This window comes from Homo sapiens, chromosome 7 (assembly GCF_000001405.40).
Source record: "Homo sapiens chromosome 7, GRCh38.p14 Primary Assembly".
Taxonomy (NCBI): Eukaryota; Metazoa; Chordata; class Mammalia; order Primates; family Hominidae; genus Homo; species Homo sapiens.
This window is the reverse complement of record NC_000007.14, coordinates 71,689,387-71,714,381: the sequence shown is the minus strand read 5'-3', so window position 1 is coordinate 71,714,381 and position 24,995 is coordinate 71,689,387. Positions and strand designations below refer to the sequence as shown.

Sequence of the window (24,995 nt, the reverse complement as noted above, 5' to 3'; positions counted from 1 at the left end):
TGTCCAGTTCTGTCCTGCTTTAAGGGGGAAAAGGCGAGTGTGAGGGTAGAACGGCATTGCCTTAGTCAGCCCCAGTGTGCGGGGGCCTTTTGCCTTTACTAAGAGCAAACCCAGACCTGGTGCACTGACTCACACCTGTAATCTCTGCACTTTGAGGGGCTGAGGTGGGAGGATCACTTGAGGTCAGGAATTCAAGACCAGAGTGGGGAACATAGCAAGAACCTGTTTCTCAAAAATCAGCCAGGTCTAGTGGCCTGTGCCTGTGGTTCGAGTTACTCAGAAGGCTGAGGTGAAAGGATTGCCTGAGGCCAGGAGTTTGAAACGAATCTGGGCAATATAGCAAGACCCCGCTCTACAATTTTTTTTTTAATTAGCTGGATGCAGTGGCTCACACCTGAAATCCCAGCAGTTTGAGATGTGAAGGTGGGAAGATCTCTTGAGGCTAGGAGTTCAGGCCCAGCCTGGGCAACATAGCAAGATTCCATCTCTACAAAAATCTTTTTTAAAAAATTAGCCAGGCACGGTGATGTGTACCTGTAGTCTCAGTTACTCAGGAGGCTGAGGTGGGAGGATCATTTGAGCCCCAGGAGTTTGAGGCTGCAGTGGGTCATGATTGCACCACTGCACTCCAGCCTGGGCCACAGAGCAAGACCCCATCTCGAATAAATAGATAAATAAGTAACACTAAACCCTCAAAGCCAAAGAAGCTCTCCTCCTATGTCTCCATCACTCCCCTCCCCACCTCCAGTTCTGGAGAAATCAAGACACAAAGGAGGCTGCTCTGGGAAGTGCTAACATGTATTTATTCCACAAGGTGGGAGATGGGGTGAGGAGATGATCACCAGTAAGACGTCACCAAATGAGACACTGCGAATCCCACACAGGGCAAGGGGGCAGCTACAGGGTTCAGCTCTGGGCAGGGCTTGGCCAGGGACAGTGTGGGGAAAAAGAGATGGGGACTGGGAGATGGGACAGCCTCCCATCGGGGGCACCCCACAGGGCAGGGCTGAGACACATCCTTCCGGCCAGTGACATGGGGCCAAACCCACACCCTTCTCATCCCTCGTCCCCATCCAGGTGAGTAATGAAGCAGCAAGCCCAAGGCCACACAGCTAGGTCAGCATCGTCACACACTCCGGAACGCACAGCCAGACACACACACACACACCCTGCCACGCACAGCACGCAGGCACACACACACTTGTGCATGCACACGCGTTCATATATTAACTCTGATTTATATGTGCACCCTAACCAGAGGGCAATCGAAAAAAATACTCTTCAGAGAGGAAACGACTGCCTTCTCCTCTGCCAGCCAGCAGAGCGTGGGGTGAAATGAGGTGAGCCAAAAGCATCTTCAAGGGTCCTGGCAGCCTTTGCTTCAGCCCTTAGGTTCTGGATGGAGGACCGCTGCTTCTCCCCGGTGGCAGCCTCTGGGAGTCAGGGCTCCCTGGTCCTTGACCCAGCTCCATCCTGCGGGGCCCTTGTGGCTGAGATCCTACTGCAGGCTTAGCCTATTTCTGTCTCTGGCTTCCTCTAGACACAGGCAGGAGAGCTGGCCCAAGCACACTGATAAGAGCCTAGTGCCCAGGGATTAGGAGAGAAAGCATCAGCTCCATCAGGTCATCTCAGGAGGGGCCAGAAAAGTCCAGAGCTGCAGTGCCCAAAGCTACCCTGGTGGGAAGGGTTAGGGGCAGTAGCTGCCTTGGGGCGTGAACAGGCAGGTGTCATCTGGGTAGAAGTAACCTCGGAGGAAATAGTGCCTGGTCCTCACTGCCTCCTTTTAGGGCGGGGAGCTAGGACATGGCTGAAGCCCCCGCTGCCTCCCACCGTGTTGATGGCTGGAGTTCAGCAGCTGCTGCTGCAAGAGATGAGACACAGGAGGGGACCCTGCCAGTCCCAGATCCTGATTCTGGGATGGGAGATGTGGAGGAGAACTGGACAGTCTTGCTCCTCAGTACCAGGTCCACATCAGAGGCTGTGGAAGACAGCTGTCAGTTTCCCAGAGGAAGGGTGGGGGGCTTTTCCAGGGTGCAGGAAACTTGTGGGCAGCTGAATGCCTGAGGGGGGACAGAGTCTTCATCCGGGGTCCCTGTGCTGCCCTGGAGAAGCCCTGGGGGGCCCATCGAGCACCTGCCGGCCCCTTGCTGTCTCTCCGCCAGGGCAGCTGGTCCAGATGTTGGGGGGAGCAGCCATGTCCTGGGGGCCAGGCTCCAGTGCCCCAGCTCCCTCCCTCTACTTGATGGAGTTCTTAATGGTCCACCTCTGACCTGTGCAGCTGCGGAGGATGAGGTCGATGCCAGCCAGGCCCCGGTTCTCCACCTCCAGGCAGCGTCCCGTGCCCTTGTTCATGATGGCTCCATTCTGGGAGGGGGCAAAATCGAGAAGAGAGGAGAAGAGAGAGAGGAGAGAGAGACAGCGAGAGATATAGAGAGAGGAGAAAGAGAGACAGGAGAGAGAAAATGACAAAGAGAAAAAGAAAAAGAGAAGAGAAAGAGAGAGACAGAGAAAGAGGCAAAGAGAAGACAGAAAGAGGAGAGAGAGAAAAAGAGGGAAGAGAGGAGAAAGAGAGAAGATAGAGACAGAAGAGAAAGAGACAGGAGAGAGAACGAGACAAAGAGACAAAGAGAAGACAAAGAAAGGGAGGAGGGGTAGAAAAAGAGGGAAGAGAGAGAAGAGAGAAGAGAGAAGATAGAGAGGAGAGAGAGAAAAAGAGAAAGATAAAGGGGAGAGAGAAAAAAGAGAAGAGAGGAGAGGAACAGAGAGAAGACAGGAGATAGAGGAGAGACAAGACAGAGAAGAGAAAGAGAGAAAGGGAGAGAGAGGCAGAGAGAGGGAGACAGAGGGAGAGAGGGAGAGAGAGGGAGAGAGAGAGAGTGCAATAGGAGAAAGAAAGAGAGAGAGAGGCTTAACTATCATGGCGCCTGGCACATAGCTTCTTGCAGAGAATCAATTCCACCAAAATTCTTTGCATGAGACTGGGGCAGGGAAGCATGAGGACCTCCTCTGGGGACTCTGAAGTCAGAACCTAAATAAGCTTCACCCAGTTGGAGTATCTGAATCAGGTGAGGAGCGTTGGTGGGGGGTGGGGGATGGGGTCAGGAGGGGGTCAGGATGTTGAGTTTCCTGGGATATTCTTGGTCTGATGGTCTCAACCCCACTGGCTGTGGGTACTTAGTGGATTTCAAGGAAGTCCCCCCTCACTCCTATCTCAGGATTGATCAGAGCTCAACCAGCCTAGCACTGACATAGGAATCAGAAATGCTACTCCATGCAGAAACTCCACAGCTGCCCCCAGGAAGTGCTTTGGGTCCACAAGCCCAGCCCGGGGCAGGGAGACCTGGGTTCGGGGTCGCTCTTTGCTGGGGACCCCTGGGGAAGCAGGATTCCCCTCTGTGGTCTGCAGCCTCTTGCAGCTACTCTGGGTGCTGGCTCTGTCCATACAGCACTCACCTGGATGAAGTTCCAGCGCTTGTACAGGCTGCTCTTGACCTTGTCGCAGTCCAGGAGCTGGGGCAGCCGACTCTTGGAGTTGTCCACCAGGCAGCGGGTGTCAGGGAGGAGTGTGGTGGTCCCCAGGGCACCCAAGTGCAGGAAGCCTTCCTTGGTGTAGCGGGCAAGCTGTCGAGAGACCAGAGCAGCAGGGGAATGGAAGTGGGAGGCAGGAGTGAGACATGGGAGGAAGCAGGGCTCAGGTCTCTCGGCTTTACTCCTGCTGTTTGTCAATACTGCAGTCCTGGCCACCATCCCAGCCTGTCACTCAGGCCATATGCTCACCTCACAGGACAGCCCTGTTCCAGAAAGCCACCCAGGCTTCTGAGCCTGGATACAGAGTCCCCAGGGCAACTCTCTGATCTTTTTTCCTTTTTTCTTTGAGATGGAGTCTCACTCTGTTGTCCTGTCTGGAGTGCAATGGCACGATCTCAGCTCACTGCAACCTCCGCTTCCCAGGTTCAAGCAATTCTCTTGCCTCAGCCTCCTGAGTACGTGGGATTACAGGCGCGCACCACCACACACGGCTAATTTTTGTATTTTTAGTAGAGATGGAGTTTCATCATGTTGGTCAGGCTGGTCTCGAACTCCTGACCTCGTGATCTGCCCACCTCGGCTTCTCAAAGTGCTGGGATTACAGGCATGAGCCACGGCGCCCGGCCCTGATCTTTTATCTAAGCATATCCTCAGTCAATGTTTTAGGACCTAGTCTTCTGTTCAGCAACATCGGGGAGAAGGAATAGATGAAGAAGCTGGATGTCTAATTTCTAAATGGCTCTACTTTCAGCTGGCTGGGCCACCTTGAACAAGTAACCTGAGTCTCCATTTCCTCCCCACTTACAAAGGGGGATTGACTAAATCTACCCTGCTGCAAAAGGCTCAAAGAAGCCATTCACTGAAGAAACAGACATTAAACAGTACTCAACCTCATAGGTATGAAAAGAAACAAAAATCTAAAATAATAAGATACCACATTTTACAAAAGAGATTAGGCCAGGCTCAGTGGCTCATGCCCGTGATCCCAGCACTTTGGGAGGCTGAGGCAGGCAGATCACTTGAAGCCAGGAGTTCGAGACCAGCCTGACCAACATGGCCAAACTCCGTCTCTTCTAAAACTACAAAAATCAGCTGGGTGTGGTGGTGAGCAACTATAATCCAAGCTATTCAGGAGGCTGAGGCAGGAGAATTGCTTGAACCTGGGGGTGCGGAGGTTGCAGTGAGCAGAGATTGTGCCACTGCACTCCAGCCTGGGCAACAGAGTGAGGCTCTGTCTCAAAAAACAAACAAAAACCAAAAAAACAAAAAAAAAAACCCAAAAACTGAAACTAAAATCAGAGATTATTCACCACATTTTGGTGACCTAAGTCTAAGATGGGCCCTCTCACTATTGGGCTGGAGGGAGGGTAGATTACTACAACCTTTCAAAAAGGAGATTTCTAAATATATACTTCGTTCTTTTAAAATGTTCATGGCCTTTGATTCAATTAATCCACTTTTATGCGCAAAGGACATGAACAGACACTCTCACTAGAAGACATACAAGTGGCCAACAAACATGTGAAAAAATGCTCATCATCACTAATCATCAGACACATGCAAATCAAAACCACAATGAGATACCATCTCACACCAGCAAGAATGGCTATCATTAAAAAGTCAAAAAATAACAGAGGTTGATGAGGCTGCAGAGAAGAAGGCATGCTTATACACTGTTGGTGGGAAGGTAAATTAGTTCATCCACTGTGGAAAGAAGTTTGGAGACTTATCAAAGAACTAAAAGTAGAACTACTGTTTGACCTGCAATCCTATTACTGGGTATCTACCCAAAGGAAAAGACATCATTCTACCAAAAAGACACATGCACTTACACGTTCATTGCAGCACTATTCACAATAGCAAAGGTATGCAATCAACCCACGTGCCCATAAATGGTGAATTTGATGAAGAAAATGTGGTACCTATACACCATGGAATACAATACAGCCATGAAAAAGAACAGCATCATGTCTTTTGTAGCAACATGGATGCAGCTGGAGGCCATTATTCTAAGAGAATTAATGCAGAATCAGAAGACCAAACACTGTATGTTCTCACTTGTGAGTGGGAGCTAAATATTGGGTACTCATGGACATAAAGATGGAAATTACAGACACTGGGAATGCCAAAAGGAGGGAGGGAGAAAGGAAGGCAAGAGTTGAAAAACTACCTATTGGGTATTATGCTTACTACCTGGGTGACGATTTCAAGCATACCCCAAACCTCAGCATCATGCAATACACCCTTGTTAAAAACCTATATATGTACTCCTCTGAATCAAAATAGAAATTAAAAAGAATCCATTTGTAGAACTCCATGATATGGTTTGGCTCTGTCCCCACCCAAATCTCATCTTGAATTGTAGCTCCCATAATCCTCATGTGTTGTGGGAGGGACCGGTGGGAGGTAATTGATTCATGAAGGGAGGTTTTTCCCATGCTGTTCTCATGATAATGAATAAGTCTCATGAGATCTGCTGGTTTTATAAAGGACAGTTCCCCTGCACATGCTCTCTTCCCTGCCACCCCATAAGGCATCCCTTTGCTCCTCCCTCGCCTTCCAACATGATTGCGAGGCCTCCTCAGCCATGTAGAACTATGAGTCCATTAAAACCTCTTTTTCTTTATAAATTACCCAGTCTTGGGTATGTTTTTATTAACAGCATAAGACTGGACTAATACACTCTATCAGAAGGAAATAATCAGAATTGCAAACAAAAAATTCATGGGTAGGGTATTTATTGCAACAGAATTTATAATAATGAAAGAGCAGAGCAAAAATACTGCAAGTGGGCAACATAATCCTAGTACTTGCTTTATGCTCTATGTACAACAACAAATGCTGGATGATTGTGGTAGGTTGCAAAACTGACCACATCCTCCGCTATTCCTTCTATACACCCATGGCAAGATGGCTTTGAAGCAATTTCCATCAAGAAATGGAGTCTGTTCCCCCATCCCTTGAATGTTGGTTGGCCCTGTGACTTGCTTTGGCCAATGGAATGGAGCAGAAGTGAGGCTGTGCCTGTTCCTAGACTAGACTTTTAGCCTTGTATGAATCCTTTCAGTCTCTTGGAACAGTAAGCCCAGGCTGGCCTGTTTGAGGATGAGAGTCATGTGGCCCAACCAATTGCTAGTTAACCACCAGTTAACCAAATGGATGAGGCCAACCTGGATCAGGGAGCCCTCAGCCAACCTGCCAGCTGCTGATAGGAGATGCACGAATGAGTCCAGCCTAGATCAGCCAAGCCTAGTCCAGATCAGAGAACCATCCAGCTGACCTGTAGACTCGTGAGCAATAAAAAATGCATATTGTTTTAAGCCACTACGTTTTGGGGTAGTTGTTATGCAGCAATTCCTGACTGATACAGGGAAGGTGTTGCCCGGCAACCTTCCCACAACAGGGCCTGTACTAGGCTAGTAGCCTCGCCTCTGCTGCCTTTACTTTCCTGGGGAAGGAAAATTATATTGTTTAAGAATCATATTCCAAAATAAAAAAAATGCATTCATTCATCCATCTTTCACACTCCTGAGAGGGAGGGGCTGTGCCTAATTAATTTCCTTCCTTACTAGGAGCAAATCACAGACCAAGTGCTCAAAACGTGTTTGGGGTTGAGCACATAACTGTGGTGAATGGCATCATTTGAAAAGGCAGCCACATCTACACAGCTGTTGCCTAATAAATTAAAAAAAAATACTCTGCATCATTTCTAACCATTGTAAAGAGAATAAATAATGCAATTTTCCCAACAACTCTGCAAGATATGTTTTATTATTCTTTACATTTTATAGATGAGGAAACTGAGGCATGAAGACATCTGGTCACCTGGCTGGGTGCTGGCCGCTTTCTTTTGGTCACCGAATACCTCATGGTTGGCTGCCATGGCCCAGCAGCTGAGCAGCAGAAGAGCCCCCTCCCAGATTGCCAGGAGAACCCCACCTCCTCCAGAAAGCTTGAGCATATTCTGCCCAGGAATGAAATAAGTAGCTCTGCTCAGGGACAGGAGTGGCTCTTTTCTGGCAGATAAGATTCTCTGCATGGGGTTCTCATTTCTTGGTGAAAGGTACTCAGAAGCTCTTGGCTCTTATCCCAAAAGGAGGGCCTGGCTGGTCTCCTTGAACAAGGGACAGGGAGTTTATTAAGTGCCCTTGAGAGAGATGTGGTTAACGTGTGCTTTAAACCCCAATTAGTTCCAAATCAAAGTCATTGTTAGAAGCAAAATGGTAAGAAAATCAGAAGCCCTCCCTCCCCGTCCCTAAACAATGTCTGCCTGAATATATTTAAATTCTCCAAATGCAAAGTGATGAATGACAGCAAGCTGCCTTTATGTTCAGGGAAAGATATACACAGCTGCTTACTGAAATTATGAATCAATCTATTATCCAGCAGGCAGATGAGCAGCACTAAGAACATTAATTAACTGAGCATATCTGTGACCCAGATGTTTAAAGAGGGAAGCTAAATGCCACTGGGAGTTAGAGGTTCTCCTTTCTGAGGTCTGTTAGGGAGTGAAACAATGAGACCTAGAATGCCAGGACCTGCAGAGGCCACATGGCAGTCCTAAGCCATGCAGCCATGCAGGGTAGGCTGGGGCAGGTGAGGAGGGCCCCTGAGTGGGATTTCCTTTCCAGGGGAAGGTGTTTATCTCACTGAAAATACTGGGTCATGTGCATAGGTTCTGCTGGTCTGGCCAAGGGACCAATACTTGCCTCCTTTTCTGAGAAAGTTAGAAGCCAGTACTGTGGTCTGAAGAATGATGGGGCTAAAGTTAGGCAAACAGATCTCACATCCGCTTTTCTACCATGAGGCAGGTGGGTAGCGAACCCTTGGATCTGCTGTCAACCAAATGTCCAAAGTTTGCCCCAGTCCTGAACCAGGAGCCTTTGGGGTATTGTCCACCTACCATGACTCCTCATCCCTCATGCTCCTTCCTTGAGCGTCTCTTCTTCCTGTCCTCTGCACGTTCAGTAGGCTTTCCTGCCTCTAAGTCTTTGTCTAGGTGTATTTCTCTGCCTGGAGATGCTACTGATTGGCCTTCCTCTAGAATGTTCTGGCTTCAACTTTCCTAGGCTTCAGTGTGATTCTCTCTCCTGCACAATGTCTTCCAGCCCCCAGACCTCTCCTTTCAGGTCTTTGGAGCAACTGGATGTATGTGCTGCTTTAATGTGTCTCTTCAAGGTGTGGTCTCCTCATTTTGACCATTTTGTTTATTCATTTTCAAGCTGATGGACATTGGGGTTGTTTCCATTCTTTGGCTATTATGAATGATGCTGCTGTGGATATTCATGTACAATTTTCATATGAACATATGTTTTCAATTCTCTGAGGTATACACCTAGGAGTAGAATTACTCATCCTTGGGCCATATGGTAACTCTATGTTTAACTTTCTACGGAACTGCCAAACTATTTTCCAAAGCAGCTGTACCATTTTACACTCCCACCAGCAATGAACCGGGGTTTCAATTTCTCCACATCCTGGCCAACTCATGTTATTGTCTGCTTTTTTTGATTCTAGTCATCCTAGTAGGAGTGTGAAGTGGCCACTGTGGTTTTAATTTGCATTTCTCTAATGACTAAAGATGTTGAGCATCTTTTCATTTGCTTATTGACCGTTTTATATCTTCTTTGAAAAAAAAGTCTATTCAACTCTTTTGACCATCAAAAAAAGGGTTATTTGTCTTCTTATTTTTGAGTTTTAAGAGTTCTTTACATATTCTGGATACTAAGACATTTTTCTGACATATGATGTACAAATATTTTCTCCCATTCTGTGGGTTGTTTTTCACTTGCTTGATAATGTCCTTTGAAGCATCAAAGTTTTTCTTTTTGGTAAAATACAAAGTAGCTATTTTTTTCTTTGGTTATTTGTGGTTTTGAAGTCATATCTAAGAAACCATTGCAAAATCCAAGGCCATGAAGATTTACCCCTGTGTTTTCTAAGAATTTTATAGTTTCATCTCTTATATTTAGGTCTTTGATGCCCTTTGAATTTTTTTTCTGTATAGTATAAGGTTGAGGTCCAAATTCACTCTTTTTCATGTGGATATCTGTGTCCCGGCACCATTGCTGAAAAGACTATTCTTTCCTTATTGAATTGTCTTGTCACTCTTGTCAAAAATCAATGGACTATAAATGTGAGGGTTTGTTTCTAGACTCTAAATGTGATTCCTTTGATCTCCACGTCTATCTTTGTGCCACACTATACTGCTTTGATTATTATAGCTTTGTAGCAAGTCTTAGAACTGGGAAGTGTGAGTCTTGCAACTTTGTTCTTTTTCAATACTGTTCTGGCTATTTTGTGTCCCTTGAATTTCATATGTATTTTAGGATTAGCTTTTCCATTTCTGCAAAAAAAAAAAAAAAGGCAGTTGGCATTTTGATAGGGATTGCATTGAATCTCTAGATCAATTTAGGAAGAAATGCCATCTTAACACTCTTAAGTCCTCTAATCCATGAACACAGGATATCTTTTTTACTTAGATCTTTAATTTCTTTCAATAATGTTTTCTCATTTTCAGTGTACATGTCTTGCATTTTTTTGGCTAAATTTATTCCTAAGCATTTAATCCTTTTTGATGCTATTGTAAATGGTTTTGTTCTCTTAATTCCCTTTTCAGAATGTTCATTGCCAGTGCAAGTAGTGTGTTTAATACACCTCTGTGATCACACCAACCACCCAGGTACCTCATGGTCACTCTGAACTACAGGTTTTACGGGTCTCCTTGGTCTTTGCTTTCACACAGCCAGGGACAGGTGCCAACTGACCACACCCACTGGAGACCTGTGTTCCAACTGTGCCTGGGCCCTTCTCATCTTTTCATTTGCCTCATGTGACTCTCTGTCAACCAACACTGCCTTCCATCCCTGCCAGAGTCTAGATTTTTAAAAATGTGTTCTTCCTCCTCAATCTCCTATCCTGGTGTCCTGGGCCCTTACTGCCTTCAGAGAATATTACTTTCCATTTTGTTGAAAAGTTGTCTCCCTTACTTCTCAAAAACCTGTCTTCCTTCACTCTCATTTCCTTCGGTCTCTGACCCTCTTCCCACACTGTAGGTACCCTAAGCCATTATTCACTCCTTTCTTTCATTTCTTCAATCAAGCTACAAATATAACCGGATCTTTATGACTCTAGCCACAGCTCTACTTATCTCTTAATTTGAATTTCCTCTCTCTTATACCTTTAATGCCTTGAAACCTAACTTCTGCCATTGTTACTTTATTGAAATTGCTCTTTTAAAGGTTATCAGGTGATGCGGTTTGAGTGTTTGTCTCCTCCAAATATCATGTTGAAATGTGATTGACGGTGTTGGAGATGGGGTCTGATGGGAGGTAACTGTATCATGGGGCCATATCCCTTATGAATGGTTTAAGCACCATCCCCTTGGTGATAAATGAGTTCTTGCTTAGTTAGTTAATGCAAGATCTGGTTGTTTAGAAGTCTAGGACCTTCTCACCTCACTCTCTTTTTCCCACTCTTGCCCATTGATGTGCCTGCTCCTGCTTCACCTTCCGTCATGGGCAAAAGCTCCCTGAGGCCTCACCAGAAGCTGAGCAGATGTTGTACAGCCAAAAGCCAATTAAACCTCTTTTCTTTATAAATTACCCAGTCTCCAGTATTTCTTTAAAACAAGGCAAGAACAGCCTAATAAACCAGGATCTATAAATTATAAACTTCAATTGCCCCCAGGCGCTGTGCTGAGTACAGTTGATATAACTTCTCCTATATGTAGTCACTTTCTTGGAGAGTTTTCCATCCTCAGCGCTTTCAATAGCATTTACATGCTAATTTGGCTGTTTGAAACTTCTATCTCCAAACCAAAAATTTCTCTCAATTCCAACTTTGTATATCCAGCTCCCTACTTGACATACCACTTGGATGTCTAATAAGCATTTTAAATTTAGATGACCCAACTGAACTGATCCTCTTGTGTAACCACCATCACCCATACACTCATCCAGCATCTATTCCTTCTTGGTAATGATAACTCCATCCTTACAGTTGCTTAGGCCAAACACCTTACTTACCCCTTTCTCTGATCCACCATATTCAATCCATTAGCAAATCATATCCAGATTCCACCTCCACAGCTACCTCCCTGTTCTAAGCCAACTTCCTTTCTTGATAAGGTTAGTGCAATGGCCTCCTAACTGGTTCCCCAGTTCCCCCTCCTTGCCTCCCTCAGCTTTTTATCAACACACCATCCAGAGTGACTGCTTTTAAAATACTATATTATTTAAAATCATGTTACTTTAAATTGGAGTCAGGGTGTGCCATCTCTCTGCTGAAAATCTTCTGGAAGCTTCCAATCTCACCCAAAATAAAAGTCCAAGATCCTTGCGATGGGTCTTGCAATCCAATAATGGCTTTCTGAGCTTCCAGAACTTCCAGCCACATGTCATATTGTTTGCTGAGACTTTTCCTTGATCATCTTATTTAATCCAGCCACATGCGCCTCCCTGCTGATCTGTGAACCGTCCATGCCTGCTCCTGCTCAGAGCCTTTGCACTGGCTGTTCCTTCTCTCTTGAATACTCTTCCTTTAGGTATCTTTCTGTTTTTCTATTTTTAAAAGTTTTAGATTCAGGGGGTAGTGTACATATTTGTTACATGGATATATTGCATAATGCTGAGGTTTGGGCTTCTACTGAACCCATCACCCAAATAGTAAACATAGTACCCAGTAGGCACTTTTCAACCCTTACCCTCCTCCCTCTCTCTCTACTCTGGTAGTCCACAGTGTCTATTGTTTCCATTTCTATGTCCAATGTTTAGCTCCCACTTATAAGTGAGAACATGTGGTATTAGGTTTTCTGTTCCTTTGTTAATTCACTTAGGATAATGGCCTCCAGCTACATCTATGTTGCTGCAAAGGATATGATTTTATTCTTTTTTATGGTTGCATAGTGTTCCATGACATGTATATATATACATATATATATGTATATATATATATGTGTATATATATATATACATATATATATGTATATATATATGTGTATATATATATACACATATATATATGTGTATATATATGTGTATATATATATACACACACACACATATATATACACACACACATATATATACACATATATATACATATATATACACATATATATATATATACATACACCACATTTTCTTTATCCCATCCACTCTTGATGCGCACTTAGGTTAATTCCATGAATTTGTTATTGTGGATAGTGCTGTGATGAACATACAAGTGCAGGCATCTTTTTGATAGGATGACTCCTTTTTCTTTGGGTAGATACCCAGGAGTGCCTCCTCCAGATGTTTGAATGGCTCACTCTCTCACCTCTTTCAAGTTTCTGCTTAAATGTCATATTCTTTTTTTTTTCTTTTTTGAGATAGAGTCTCACTCTGTTATCCAGGCTGGAGTACAATGGCGTGATCTTGGCTCACTGCAACCTCCACCTCCTGAGTTCAAGTGATTCTCCTGCCTTAGCCTCCAGAGTAGCCAGGATTACAGGCACCTGCCACCATGCCCAGCTAATTTTTATACTTTTAGTAGAGACAAGGTTTCACCAGGTTGGCCAGGCTGGTCTTGAACTTCTGACCTCAGGTGATCTGCCTACCTCGGCCTCCCAAAGTGCTGGGATTACAGGCGTGAGCCATCGTGACCGGCCAAATGTCATATTCTTTCTGAGACTTTCCCTTGATCATCTTATTTAAAATTTCACATCCACCCCTTACTCCCTATCTTTCTCCTTGCTTTACTTCTCTGCAAACACCTATCATCTTCTATTAAACCATCTATTTTCCTTACCTACCCAGTTTGTTGTTTGGCTCCCTTGGCTAGAATGAGAGTGGCATGAAGGCAGGGGTGTGTTTGCTTAACTTTTTTGTTCACTGCTCTATCTCTAGCTCTTAGAAGAATGCCTGGCATATAGTAGGTGCTTGATAAATATTTGTTGACATCATGAATGAATGACACAGTGCTTGCTTTCGAGGTGTTCACAGCTTACTCACTGGAGTCAGGCAAGTAAAAAGGCAATGATAAAATGTGAAATATTGCTAGGAAATACACGGTGGTTCATAAAAGCAGAATAGGATGAGTCCCCATCCAAAAGAGGAAGGTCAAAGAAGGATTCCCAGAGGAGAAGGCATTGAAGTCAAGCCCTGATGGAGTCAGCCAACTAGGCAAGTAAGAGAAAAACAGATCAGACCAGGAATATGGAGCAGCTGTTTAAAGGCCTGGAGACCAGAGGAAATGTGGTGTTTTGGAGAACCCAAGCATAGCTTTCACCATGATGGAGTATAGAGGTGGGGGAGCTGGGTCTAGTGCAGGTGAGACTCCACTAGATGGAGTCCATCAAGCTCAGGAATCGGGGCTTTCTCATCAAGAGCCATCTGAATTTTAGGCTGACCACACTGTCTGTTGAGTGGAGAATGAACTGCAATGAGGATGGAAGTAGAGGGGCGGATGAAGGTCTGAACTCAAGTGTGACAGTGAAGGTTAGAAGAAGACAGATTTGAGAATGCATACAAGTTAAGTAGTTAAGAATTCTTCTTTTTTTTTTTTTTTGAGAAAGTCTCACTATGTCACCCAAACTGTAGTGCAGTGGCGTGATCTCGGCTCACTGCAACCTCCGCCACCTGGGCTCAAGTGATTCTTGGGCCTTAGCCTCCTGAGTATCTGGGACTACAGGTGTGCATCACTGTGCCTGGCTAGTTTTTTGTTGTTGTTGTTGTTGTATTTTTAGTAGACATGGGCTTTCGCTATGTTGGCCAGGCTGGTCTTGAACTCCTAGCCTCAAGTGATCTGCCCGCCTTGGCCTCCCAAACTGCTGTGATTACAGGTGTGAGCCACTGTGCCTGGCCAATAATTATTCTATCTTACTGGAAAACGGAATATTTTATCATCATACACTGACACACTTCACCTTATTTTTTTTCTGAGACAGGGGTCTCACTCCATCACTCAGGCTGCAGTGCAGTAAAGTGATCATAGTTAATTGCAGCCTCCAACTCCTGCGCATACGTGATCCTCCTGCCTCAGCCTCCCAAGTAGCTGGGACTACAGGTGCATGCCATAACACCTGGTTATTTAAAAAAAAATCATAGAGACAGGGTCTCACTATTTTGCCCAGGCTGGCCTCAAACTCCTAGGCTCAAATGATTCTCCCATTTCAGCATCTCAAAGTGTTGGGATTACAGGCATGAGCCACTGTGTCCAGGCCGCATTCATCTTTAATAACGCATTTTGATCTACAGGCTAGTTTGTTTGATATTAACGAGGTTACCCCAGCTTTCTGCTCTTTAGAATTTGCCTGACATAACCCTTTCCATCTTTTTAATTCAACATTTCACTCTCCTGAGGGTTTTTTTTTTGTTTTTTGGGTTTTTTTTTTTTTTGAGACAGAGTCTCACTCTGTCACCCAGGCTGGAGCGCAGTGGCGCAATCTCGGCTCACTGCAACCTCTGCCTCCCAGGTTCAAGCGATTCTCCTGCCTCAGACTCCGGAGTAGCTGGGACTACAGGTGCACCACCATGCCAGGCTAATTTTTGTACTTGTAGTAGAGACGGGGTTTCACCATGTTGGCCAGAATGGTATCGATATCTTGACCTCGTGATCCACCGGCCTCGGCCTCAAGAAGTGCTGGGATTACAGGTGTGAGCCACTGCACCTGGTCATTTTTTTTTTTTTTTTTTTTTTTTTGAGATGGAGTCTTGCTCTGTTGCCTAGGCTGGCGTGCAGTGGCATGATCTTGGCTCACTACAACCTCCACCTCCCTGGTTCAAGCAATTCTCCTGCCTCAGCCTCCCGAGTAGGTGGGATTACAGGCACACGCTGCCATGCCCAGCTAATTTTTTGTATTTTAGTAGAGACAGGGTTTCACCATGTTGCCCAGGCTGGTCTCGAACTCCTGAGTTCTGGCAATCTGCCCCCCTCGGCCTCTCAAAGTGCTGGGATTACAGGCGTGAGCCACTGGGCCCGGCGCTCTCCTGAGGTTTTTTATGTGTCTCTTGAAAATGGAATACAGCTGGAGTTTTAAAAATTTAAGGTGGCAATCTCTGTCTTTTAACTGAAGAGTTAAATCCATTCATATTCATTGTAATTAATGATATATTTGTACTTATTTCTACCATCTCTCTTTGTGCTTTCTGTTTGTCCAGGCTCCTCTGTTTCCTTCTTTCTCCTCTACTTGCCTTTGCTTGGATTAGTTGCGTTTGGTTGATTTGTTGACATGTTATCAGATTTCATTGTTCCCCTCTACAGATTTAAAAATCACACTCCATTTCTATTATTTTATTGTTTACTCTTCAAATTTAACCAGTGACAACTTTGCAAAATCTAATTTTATAAAATATCTTAACATCTGCTTCCCCTCAATAAAATTCAAAGACATTAGGATACCAAATCTGATCACTTCCTTCTAATAGTTCAGTATTTTGGTTATATCTCCCTTGTTCCCCAAATTAGACATTATTCTTATGATTTTATGCAATAAATGTTTGCATAGATTTATGTGTTTATAAATTTCTTTGCTTATAATTCATTCTTGCCTCAAGACATCCTTCTGCAGTCATTTTCCTTTTTCCTACAGTACATTCTTTAGAAGTTCCTTTGGTGACTGTCTGTCATAGGACAGACACACTGTCAGATTTAGTTTATCTGAAAATGTCTGGGGATAATTTGTTATGCAGCAAAAGCTCACTGATACAACCACTTTCTTTCTTTTCTTTTCTTTTTTTTTTTTTTTTTTGAGACAGAGTCTTGCTCTTGTCGCGCAGGCTGGAGTGCAGTGGCGTGATCATGGCTCGCTGTAACCTCTGCCTCCCAGATTCAAGCAATTCTCCTGCCTCAGCCTCCTGAGTAGCTGGGATTACAGGCGCCCACCACCATGCCTGGCTAATGTTTGTACTTTTAGTAGAGACAGGGTTTTGCCATGTTGGCCAGGCTGGTCTTGAACTCCTGACCTCAGGTGATCTGCCTGACTAGGCCTCCCAAAGTGCTGGGATTATAGGCATGAGCCACCACTCCCGGCTGATACAACCACTTTCTTATGAGCCTAGAAAAAAAATCTAAATAATATTTGTTATAGTTTATCTAAAATCTGTCTATATGAGAGCAGGGAGACCCTTCAAAGTATCTAATGTACTCTACTACTGAAAGCTATTTCATTACTGTGATGCTCATTCACCAAATTATGGCCAAGCCACTATCTGTGAAATCTATCATTTTGGTATGATGATGCTCACTGTTGCCAAGGTAATCCTGCTAGTGGGAGGAGAAGGATGGGTAATGCATTATTCTCTGAGTTTACGACTGCCTGAAACTTGTGACTCTCATTCCTGCAGTGTGGAGCCAACAGACAATTAGCTCCCTGTTACGCACCCAGAGTCCCCTAGTTCTAGACTTGCGCACTTGAATCAACTTTGCACCCTTCCCCTCCCTCATCCTTTCATCCACAAATTTGCATGTCCTCCGATTCCTGCCTCTAAATATTTCCTCCCAAAATTCCAGACTATTCTGAGACCCGAATATTCTTACTATTCTGAGACAGATGCAGATAAAGACAGATCTTTATCACTGGTTCTCTTGCCTCCAGACCCTCACAGTTCCCATCTACCCTACCCAGTCCTGCAGGTTATAACCATACCATTCCTTGCCTCAATCTTCCATTGCTCTCATGGTCCACCAATTTAAGAATAAACTTTCTACCATGACTTTTTACTCTATGGTCCCACTTACCTTTTCAGGTGTAACTCTTGCTTTTCTGGCTTAGTCTGATAGATGATATGAGGTTTCTCAACAACAGCTGACCGTCCAGCCTGCCTTCCCTGTATGTGCAGGATATTCTCTCCCTAGCCCCACCCTGTCTCCACTGGCTCCATATAGCCCCCACCCAGATATGATTCTTCCAACTTACATAATCTCGTATTTTATAAATGTGTCTTTCTTTGCTATAGGTTTTTCTTAGTGTTATTTTTAGCAGCATTATACCCATTTTTATCCAGCATTAAGGACCAACAAAAGTATCTTGCAAAAATCAAATGCTCTATAAATGTCTTTGGAAGTGAATGGGATTACTCTATTTGGCTCCTGGGCTCATGAGGAGAAATGAACGTCATTATCCACACCCTAATGCATTGGGAAAAAACCCTCTGAGCTCAAATACAATTAATTCTCATTTAGGGGGAAAGAATTTTCCATTTGAGATGATCTAAGAGACACATACAACTATTAACCCAAATTTAACAGCCTTGAAGGAAAACTAGAATACGCAGGTTATAGCCAGATAAACAAAAACCAGATAAATAATTGCAGAATGACTCCAGAACACAGCAAAATCCATCAGATTATCAATAAAAACATGGCTTGCAATTGCTTTCCTATTAGAGGCCTTTCTCTTGATTTTAAAATCCAGCAGTCAGTGTAGAAAACAATGGCTAAATGCAAAATGTAGGTTTCTTGGCTGGGCACAGGGGCTCACACCTGTAATCCCAGCACTTTGGGAGGGTGAGGCAGGAGGATCACTTGAGGCTAGGAGTTCAAGACCAGCCTGGGTAACATAGTGAAACACCGTCTCTATAAAAATAAAATAAACTAGCTGGGCATGGTGGCACATGCTTGTAGTCCCAGCTACTCGGGAGGCTGAGGCAGGAGGATCAATTGAGCCCAGGAACTTAAGGCTGCAGTGAACTATGACTGCACCACTGCATTCCAGCCTAGGTGACAGAGCAAGATCCTATCTCTAAAACAAACACCAAAAAAGAAAAGTTCAGGTTTCCCAGCTTCTACTCAAGAGACAGAGAGATATATTCCATTAATTCAGATCTGCTTTGGAGTACATTTATTTATTGCTTGGTTAAAGCCCAGAAGAATGGTTTCTTATGACTGGCAAGTACATGTGTATATTATTGAAATTGACAGAGTTTCTCCTTTATTATCCTGGGTGTTTGGGAAGCTGGGCCAAGCAAAGAAAGAGGCAGCCCAGCAGGGGACAGGAGCCCCTCTAGGCTGTCCTGAGAGCAAGGACCCAGTCCCAGGCATGGAGGATACAGGCCTGAGAAGATGCTCTGTCTCCAGGGGCCTGTAGACATCTACAGAGGATGCTGCCTTTGGAAAATTCCAAATGCCCAATCCCAAACTGAATATAGAAAATAAATGTCTCACAGTGGGCAAGTGGTGGCTGCCTGAGAGCTGGGGTTAGAAAAGGAGCATGAGAAATCCTTGAGGGAGATGGAAATGTTCTGAATCTTGATTTCAAGAGCCCCTTCACAGGTGCACACACCTGGCAAAACTCATCAGATTGCACACTTTAAATAGATGCAGTGTATTTATTTACCTTACGCTTCCATATAGTTGATTTAAAAATATATATGGGAGCTTAGAAAGCATGCTATGGAACCAGATGGTTCCTGCAGAGAGGGCCAGCTCCTGGGGGCTGGGATGGTCCCAAGGGCCCTTCCTCTGCTGGCTTCTCCCTTCTGCCATATGACTCATCATGCTGGATTCAAGCACTATGTTTCCAGAAAATGCATTTGCTACTTGGAATGAATGGGGATACATCTTTGTGCCACAAAAACCTCAGGCTGATTTTCTTGCAGAGACAGTTCTAGGAGCGGATAGATTGGGGCAGTTCTGATGGAGGCAGGGTCTGGCCCACATGACCTGTGGAGAGACCTGGGGCCTCTCTTGGTGTGGGGCACCAGGATGAGAGCTGGAAGAGCTGGGTGAGAGAGGGAATGCGTAGTCCACTCCGACTTCTAGGGAATCAGGAGAATATTCCTAAGCACATCTTCAAAGCACACCTTTGACTGCTGAATTGGTTAAGGAAGTAAAGACTTTATTTCTCAGTAGGACAGACCGCTGATGACATGAATTTCTTTTTTGTCTCTATATGTGAAATGGGAAGGGAGGGCTGTATCCTGGTTCAGTGTGGACGTGCTAGCAAGCACTGGCTTTCTGTACCACGGCTCAACCAGCTCACTTTCTTCGCTTGCCAACTACAGCAGCATTTCTGACCTTGCTGTGTCATTAGAGAGACAGGAGTATAATGGTTAAGGACTTGGACTCTGGGGCCTGCTTAAGAAATCCAGGCTCTGCTACTTAATGATTTTATGGCCCTGGGCCAATTACTTTAGCCCTATGGGACTCTGCTTCCTTATTTTTTAAAATGGGGATAATGGCTGGGCACCGTGGCTCACGCCTGTAATCCCAGCACTTTAGGAGGCCGAGGCGGGCGAATCACTTGAGGTCAGAAGTTTGAGACCAGCCTGGCCAACATGGTGAAACCCCGTCTCTACTAAAAATACGAACATTAACTGAACGTGGTGGTGCACATCTGTAATCACAGCTACTTGGGAGGCTGAGGCAGGAGAATTGCTTGAATCTGGGTGGCAGAGGCTGCAGCAGGAGAATTGCTTAAACCTGAGTGGCAGAGGTTGCAGTGAGCCGAGATTGTGCAACTGCACTTCAGCCTGAGTGACAGAGTGAGACTCCATCTCAAAAAAAAAAAAAAAATTGGGATAATTATAGATTACATCATAGTGCATTTATGGAGATTGATACGGTTTGACTCTGTCCCCACCCAAATCTCATCTGGAATTGTAGCTCCCACAATTCTAATGTTTTGTGGGAGGGACCAAGTGGGAGGTAATTGAAACATGGAGGTGGGTCTTTCCTGTGCTATTCTTGAGATAGTGAATAAGTCTCACAAGATCTGATGGTTTTATAAAGGGGAGTTTCCCTGCACAAGTTCTCTTCTCTTGTCTGCCACCAGGGAAGACATCACTTTCACCTTCCACCGTGATTGTGAGGCCTCCCCAGCCACGTGGAACTGTGAGTCCATTAAACCTCCTTGTTTTGTAAATTGCCCAGTCTCAGGTACGACTTTATCAGCAGCATGAAAACAGACTAATAAAATAACGGATTAAATAAAATAATGAGAAGCAAATGTGGATATTAGCTTCCCCGACCTCACCCACCATTGAATAACTGGGGTCTTGCTCCAGCTTTACAAAGAACTTGTTTTCTTTCCTATAGATTCTTTTTTTTTTTTTTAACTTTTTTTAAAGTGCAGGGGTACATATGCAGGTTTGTTACACAGGTAAACTTGTGTCATGGGGGTTTGTTGTACAGCTTATTTCATCACCCAGGTATTAAGCCTAGTACCCATTAGCTATTTAATATTTTTCCTGATCCCCTCCCTCCTACCACCCTCCACCCCCTACCCTCCAATAGGCCCCAGTGTTTGTTATTCCCTTCTATGTGTCCACGTGTTCTCATAATTCAGATCCTACTTATAAGAGAGAAGTTATTTGGTTTTCTGTTTCTGTGTTACTTTGCTAAGGATAATGGCCTCAAGCTCCATCCATGTCCCTGCAAAGGACAAGATTCCATTCTTTTTTATGTCTATAAAGTATTCCATGATGTATATGCACCACATTTTTTTAATCCAGTCTATCATTGAAGGGACATGCAAATCAAAACCACAAACATGGATTTTCTTCCCAGGATCCAACCCAGGATCTCACATTGCATTGTTTTGGTCTTGTCTCCATATATATATATGTGTGTGTGTGTGTGTGTGTGTGTGTGTGTGTGTGTGTGTGTGTGTATGTGTGTGTGTGTATATATATGTGTATATATGTATACATGTATTGTAGATATATATACACACACTATATACACACACACTATTTATATTATAGTATATACTTAAATATATACTTATATACTTATAGTATGTGAAGACAACAAGGATGAAGAACTTTATGATGATCCACTTTCACTGAATACTAACACTAGTATATAGTTATCTATCTAAGTATATACTATAACAAATATGTACTTATGGCTGGGTGCGGTGGCTCATGCACTTTGGGAGGCCGAGGTGGGCGGATCACTTGAGGTCAGGAGTTTGAGACCAGCCTGGCCAAGATGATGAAACCCCATCTCTACTAAAAATTCAAAAATTAGCTGAGTGTGGTGGCGGGCACCTGTAATCCCAGTTACTCTGGAGGCTGAGGCAGAAGAATCACTTGAACCTGGGAGGTGGAGGTTGCAGTGAGCTGAGATCACGCCACTGCACTCCAGCCTGGGTGCCAGAGTGAGATTCCTTCTCAAAAATAAAAAAAAAAAAATAGAATAAAAATAAAAAAATTAAAAAGTACTTATATACATACATTGTGTATGTATAATAAAATTGTTTATGTAGCTTGTTTTATGTGTATGTGTATGTGTGTGTACATATCTCACTATGAACTTACTGAAAATAATCATTCAACAGATACTACTGTCCCAAGGAGAAATCAAAGCTCTGTGAATCAAGCAGTCAGGGATGAGGCTACTGTGAAGTTCTGCATCGCTCTGCTGAGCCTCCTAGCTAAAGAGTAAAGAGTAAGGCACTAAATACATTCCACCAGGAGGCTTTACGTCCCCCTCCTTGTCCTTCAGAAACAGTGACGTTGTTTCCTTTTTAATTCAGTGATATAAAGACAGCCTAACAAATCAATATATTTCTTTGAAAAAAAGAAAAGCTGAAAGTAACCTTCAGTAATAATAATAGTTGTTGTAGGGTGGCAGGACCATGGATGATTTAAATTTGTGTTTTTCAAACTCTCTGAAATGCTATTGTGCCTTCAGTAAAAAAGAAGGGCCAGGCACACTGACTCACACCTATAAATCCCAGCACTTTGGGAAGCTGAGGCAGGAAGATTGCGGGAGGCCAGGAGTTTGAGACCAGCTTGGTCAACACAGCAAGGCAACATAGCGAGACCCCATCTCTATAAAAAACTTAAAAATTAGCCAAGCATGGTGGTGTGTGGCTGTGGTCCAGCTACTTGGGAGGCAGAGGTGGGAGGATTGCTTGAATCCAGGAGGTCGCGGCTACAGTGAGCTCTGATTATGGCACTGCACTCCAGCATGGGTGACAGAAACAGACTCTTTCAAAAAAAGAAAAAAAGAAAGAGAGAAAGAGAGAAAGGAAGGAAGAAAGGAAGGAAAGAAAGGAAAGAAAGAAAGAAAAGATTAAAAAAAGAGGAGCAGAAGTGACTTTCACTTATTTGGCTGTGGAATTTAATATCCCTGGGCAAGGGAGAAAGGCTCAGCTGGTGACATGGCTACCACTCTATTGTTCAATCTGAGTTCCTTATTCCAAGCCTAACATGAGCACAAAACCTGCCTGAATGACTTTTTGTGCCTGGAGAAAAGTCAGCTAAACTTCCCGGAAGACACAAAAGTCTCAACTCACAATCTCCACTGGAAAACAATTTATGTCTGTCATTGTGATTTCCTGGAAAGAATAGCTCATCAATCCATTCTGGCAGGAAAGAAATAGTACAGTAATTCCTCCTTAACCCTGAGTCTTCCTTAGGCAAAATCAAATACAGGCATATCTTGAGATATTGCAGGTTCAGTTGCAGACCACTGCAATATAGCGAATATTGCAATAAAAAGGCAAGTCACACAAATATATTGGTTTCCCAGTGCATAAAAAGTTATGTTTACACTATACTGTAGACTATTAAGTGTGCAATAGCATGCCTTTTAAAAATGTGCATAGCTTAATTTAAAAATACTTCATGGCTAAAAATACTAGTGATCATCTGAGCCTTCAGTAAGCTGTAATCTTTTTGCTAATGGAGGGTCACGGCTTGATGTTATGGCTGCTGACTGATCAGGGTGGCGGGGTGGTGGTTGCTGAATGTTGGGGCGGCTGTGGCAATTTCTTAAAATAAGAGAATAACAAAGTTTGCTGCATTAATTGACTCTCTCCCTTCCATGAAATATTTCGCTGTAGCATCCAATGCTGGTTAGTAGCATTTTACCCACAGTAGAATTTCTTTCAAAATTGGAGCCAATCCTCTCAAATCCTGCTGCTGATACACCACCTAAGTTTATGGAATATTCTAAATATTCTCTTGTGTCATTTCAACAATATTCACAACATCCCCATCAGGAGTAGATTCCATCTCAAGAGACCACTGTCTTTGCTTATCCGTGAAGAAACAACTCTTTGTTCATGTTTGATCATGAGATTGCAGCAATTCAGTCCCATCTACGGGCTCCATTTTGGTTCTAGTTCTCTTGCTGTTTCCACCACATCTGGAGTTCCTTCCTCCACTGAAGCCTTGAAACCCTCAAAGTCATCCATGAGGGTTGGAATCCACTTCTTCCACACTCCTGTTCATGTTGCTATTTTGGTCTTCCATGAATCACAAACATGCTTACTGGTATCTAAAATGGTACATTCTTCCCAAAAAGCTTTCCATGGACTTTGGCCAGACCCATGAGAAGAATCACTATCTATGGCAGCTACAGTCTTACAAAATGAATTTCTTAAATAAGACTTGAAGGTCAAAATTACTCCTTGATCCGTGGGCTGCAGAATGGATGATGTGTTATCAGGCATGAGAACAACATTCATCTTTTGGTACGTATCCATCAGAGCTCCTAGGTGACCATTATCAATGAGCAGTGATATTGTGAAAGGAATCTTTTTTTTTTTTTTCTGAGAAGTGGGACTGGACAGTGGGCTTAATATAATCAGCAAACCGGCCAGGCGTTGTGGCTCACGCCTGTAATCCCAACACTTTGGGAGGCCAAGAAGGGTGGATCTTGAAGTCAAGAGATCGAGACCATCCTGGCCAACATGGTGGAAACCCTGTCTCTACTAAAAATAGAAAAATTAGCTGGGCGTGATGGTGCGCACCTGTAGTCCCAGCTACTCGGGAGGCTGAGGCGGGAGACTCGCCTGAACCCAGGAGTCGGAGATTGCAGTGAGCCGAGATTGCGCCACTGCACTCCAGCCTGGTGACAGAGTGAGACTCCGTCTCAAAAAAAAGAAAAAAAAAAAAAAAGATATTCAGTAAACCATGCTGTAAACAGATGCACTGATATCCAAGCTCTGTTGTTCCATTTCTCGGGCACATGCAGAGTAGATTTAGCATCATTCTTAAGGGCCCTAGGATCTTCAAAATGGTAAATGAGCTTTAGCTTCAACTTAAAGTCACCAGCTGCATTCGCCTCTCACAGGAGAGTCAGGCTGTCCTTTGAGGCTTTGAAGCCAGGCATGGACTTCTCCTCTCTATGTGGGAAAGTCCTAGATAGCACCTTCTTCTAATAGAAGGCTGTTCTGTCTACGTTGAAAATCTGTTGTTGAGTGTAGACACCTTCAGCAATGAGTTTAGCTAGATCTTCTGGAGAACTTGCTGCAGCTTCTCCATCAGCACTTGCTGCTTCACCCTGCACCATTATGTTGCAGAGACAGCTTCTTTCCTTAAACCTCAAGCCAACCTCTGCTACCTTCAAACTTTTCTTCTGTAGCTTCCTCACTTCTTTCAGCCTTCATAGAATTGAAGAGAACTAGGCCCTTGTTCTGGATTAGGCTTTTGGCTTAAGGGAATGTTGTGGCTGGACTGGTCTTCTAACCATACCACTAAAACTGACTCCCTATGAACAATGAGGCTGTTTTGCTTTCTTAGCATTCGTGT

At 44.1% G+C, this 24,995-nt stretch overlaps 1 protein-coding gene across 2 annotated transcripts in view, besides 1 other annotated feature; it reads right to left on the bottom strand.

The window, feature by feature from the left end:
- Window positions 1-782: 782 nt before the first annotated feature.
- GALNT17 (polypeptide N-acetylgalactosaminyltransferase 17) overlaps window positions 783-24,995 on the bottom strand; it is a 581,456-nt gene continuing 557,243 nt past the window's right edge. The window contains exons 10-11 of one of the 2 annotated variants that reach the window (NM_022479.3): window positions 3,454-3,621; window positions 783-2,364 (exon numbers count right to left, since the gene is read on the bottom strand). In NM_022479.3, coding sequence (NP_071924.1) covers window positions 2,236-2,364; window positions 3,454-3,621 — 297 coding nt within the window. In that variant the 3' untranslated portion in view covers window positions 783-2,235. Of the gene's footprint in view, window positions 2,365-3,453; window positions 3,622-7,268; window positions 9,875-24,995 lie in introns of those variants that run through there. The other variant, XM_011516467.4, reaches the window with a different exon arrangement.
- Window positions 3,509-4,010: an enhancer, noted in NCBI's record as "H3K4me1 hESC enhancer chr7:71175357-71175858 (GRCh37/hg19 assembly coordinates)". NCBI's record gives its function as "activates a minimal SCP1, AML or CMV promoter by ChIP-STARR-seq in naive H9 embryonic stem cells {active_cell/tissue: H9 hESC(naive)}" and the evidence as "EXISTENCE:reporter gene assay evidence [ECO:0000049][PMID:30033119]".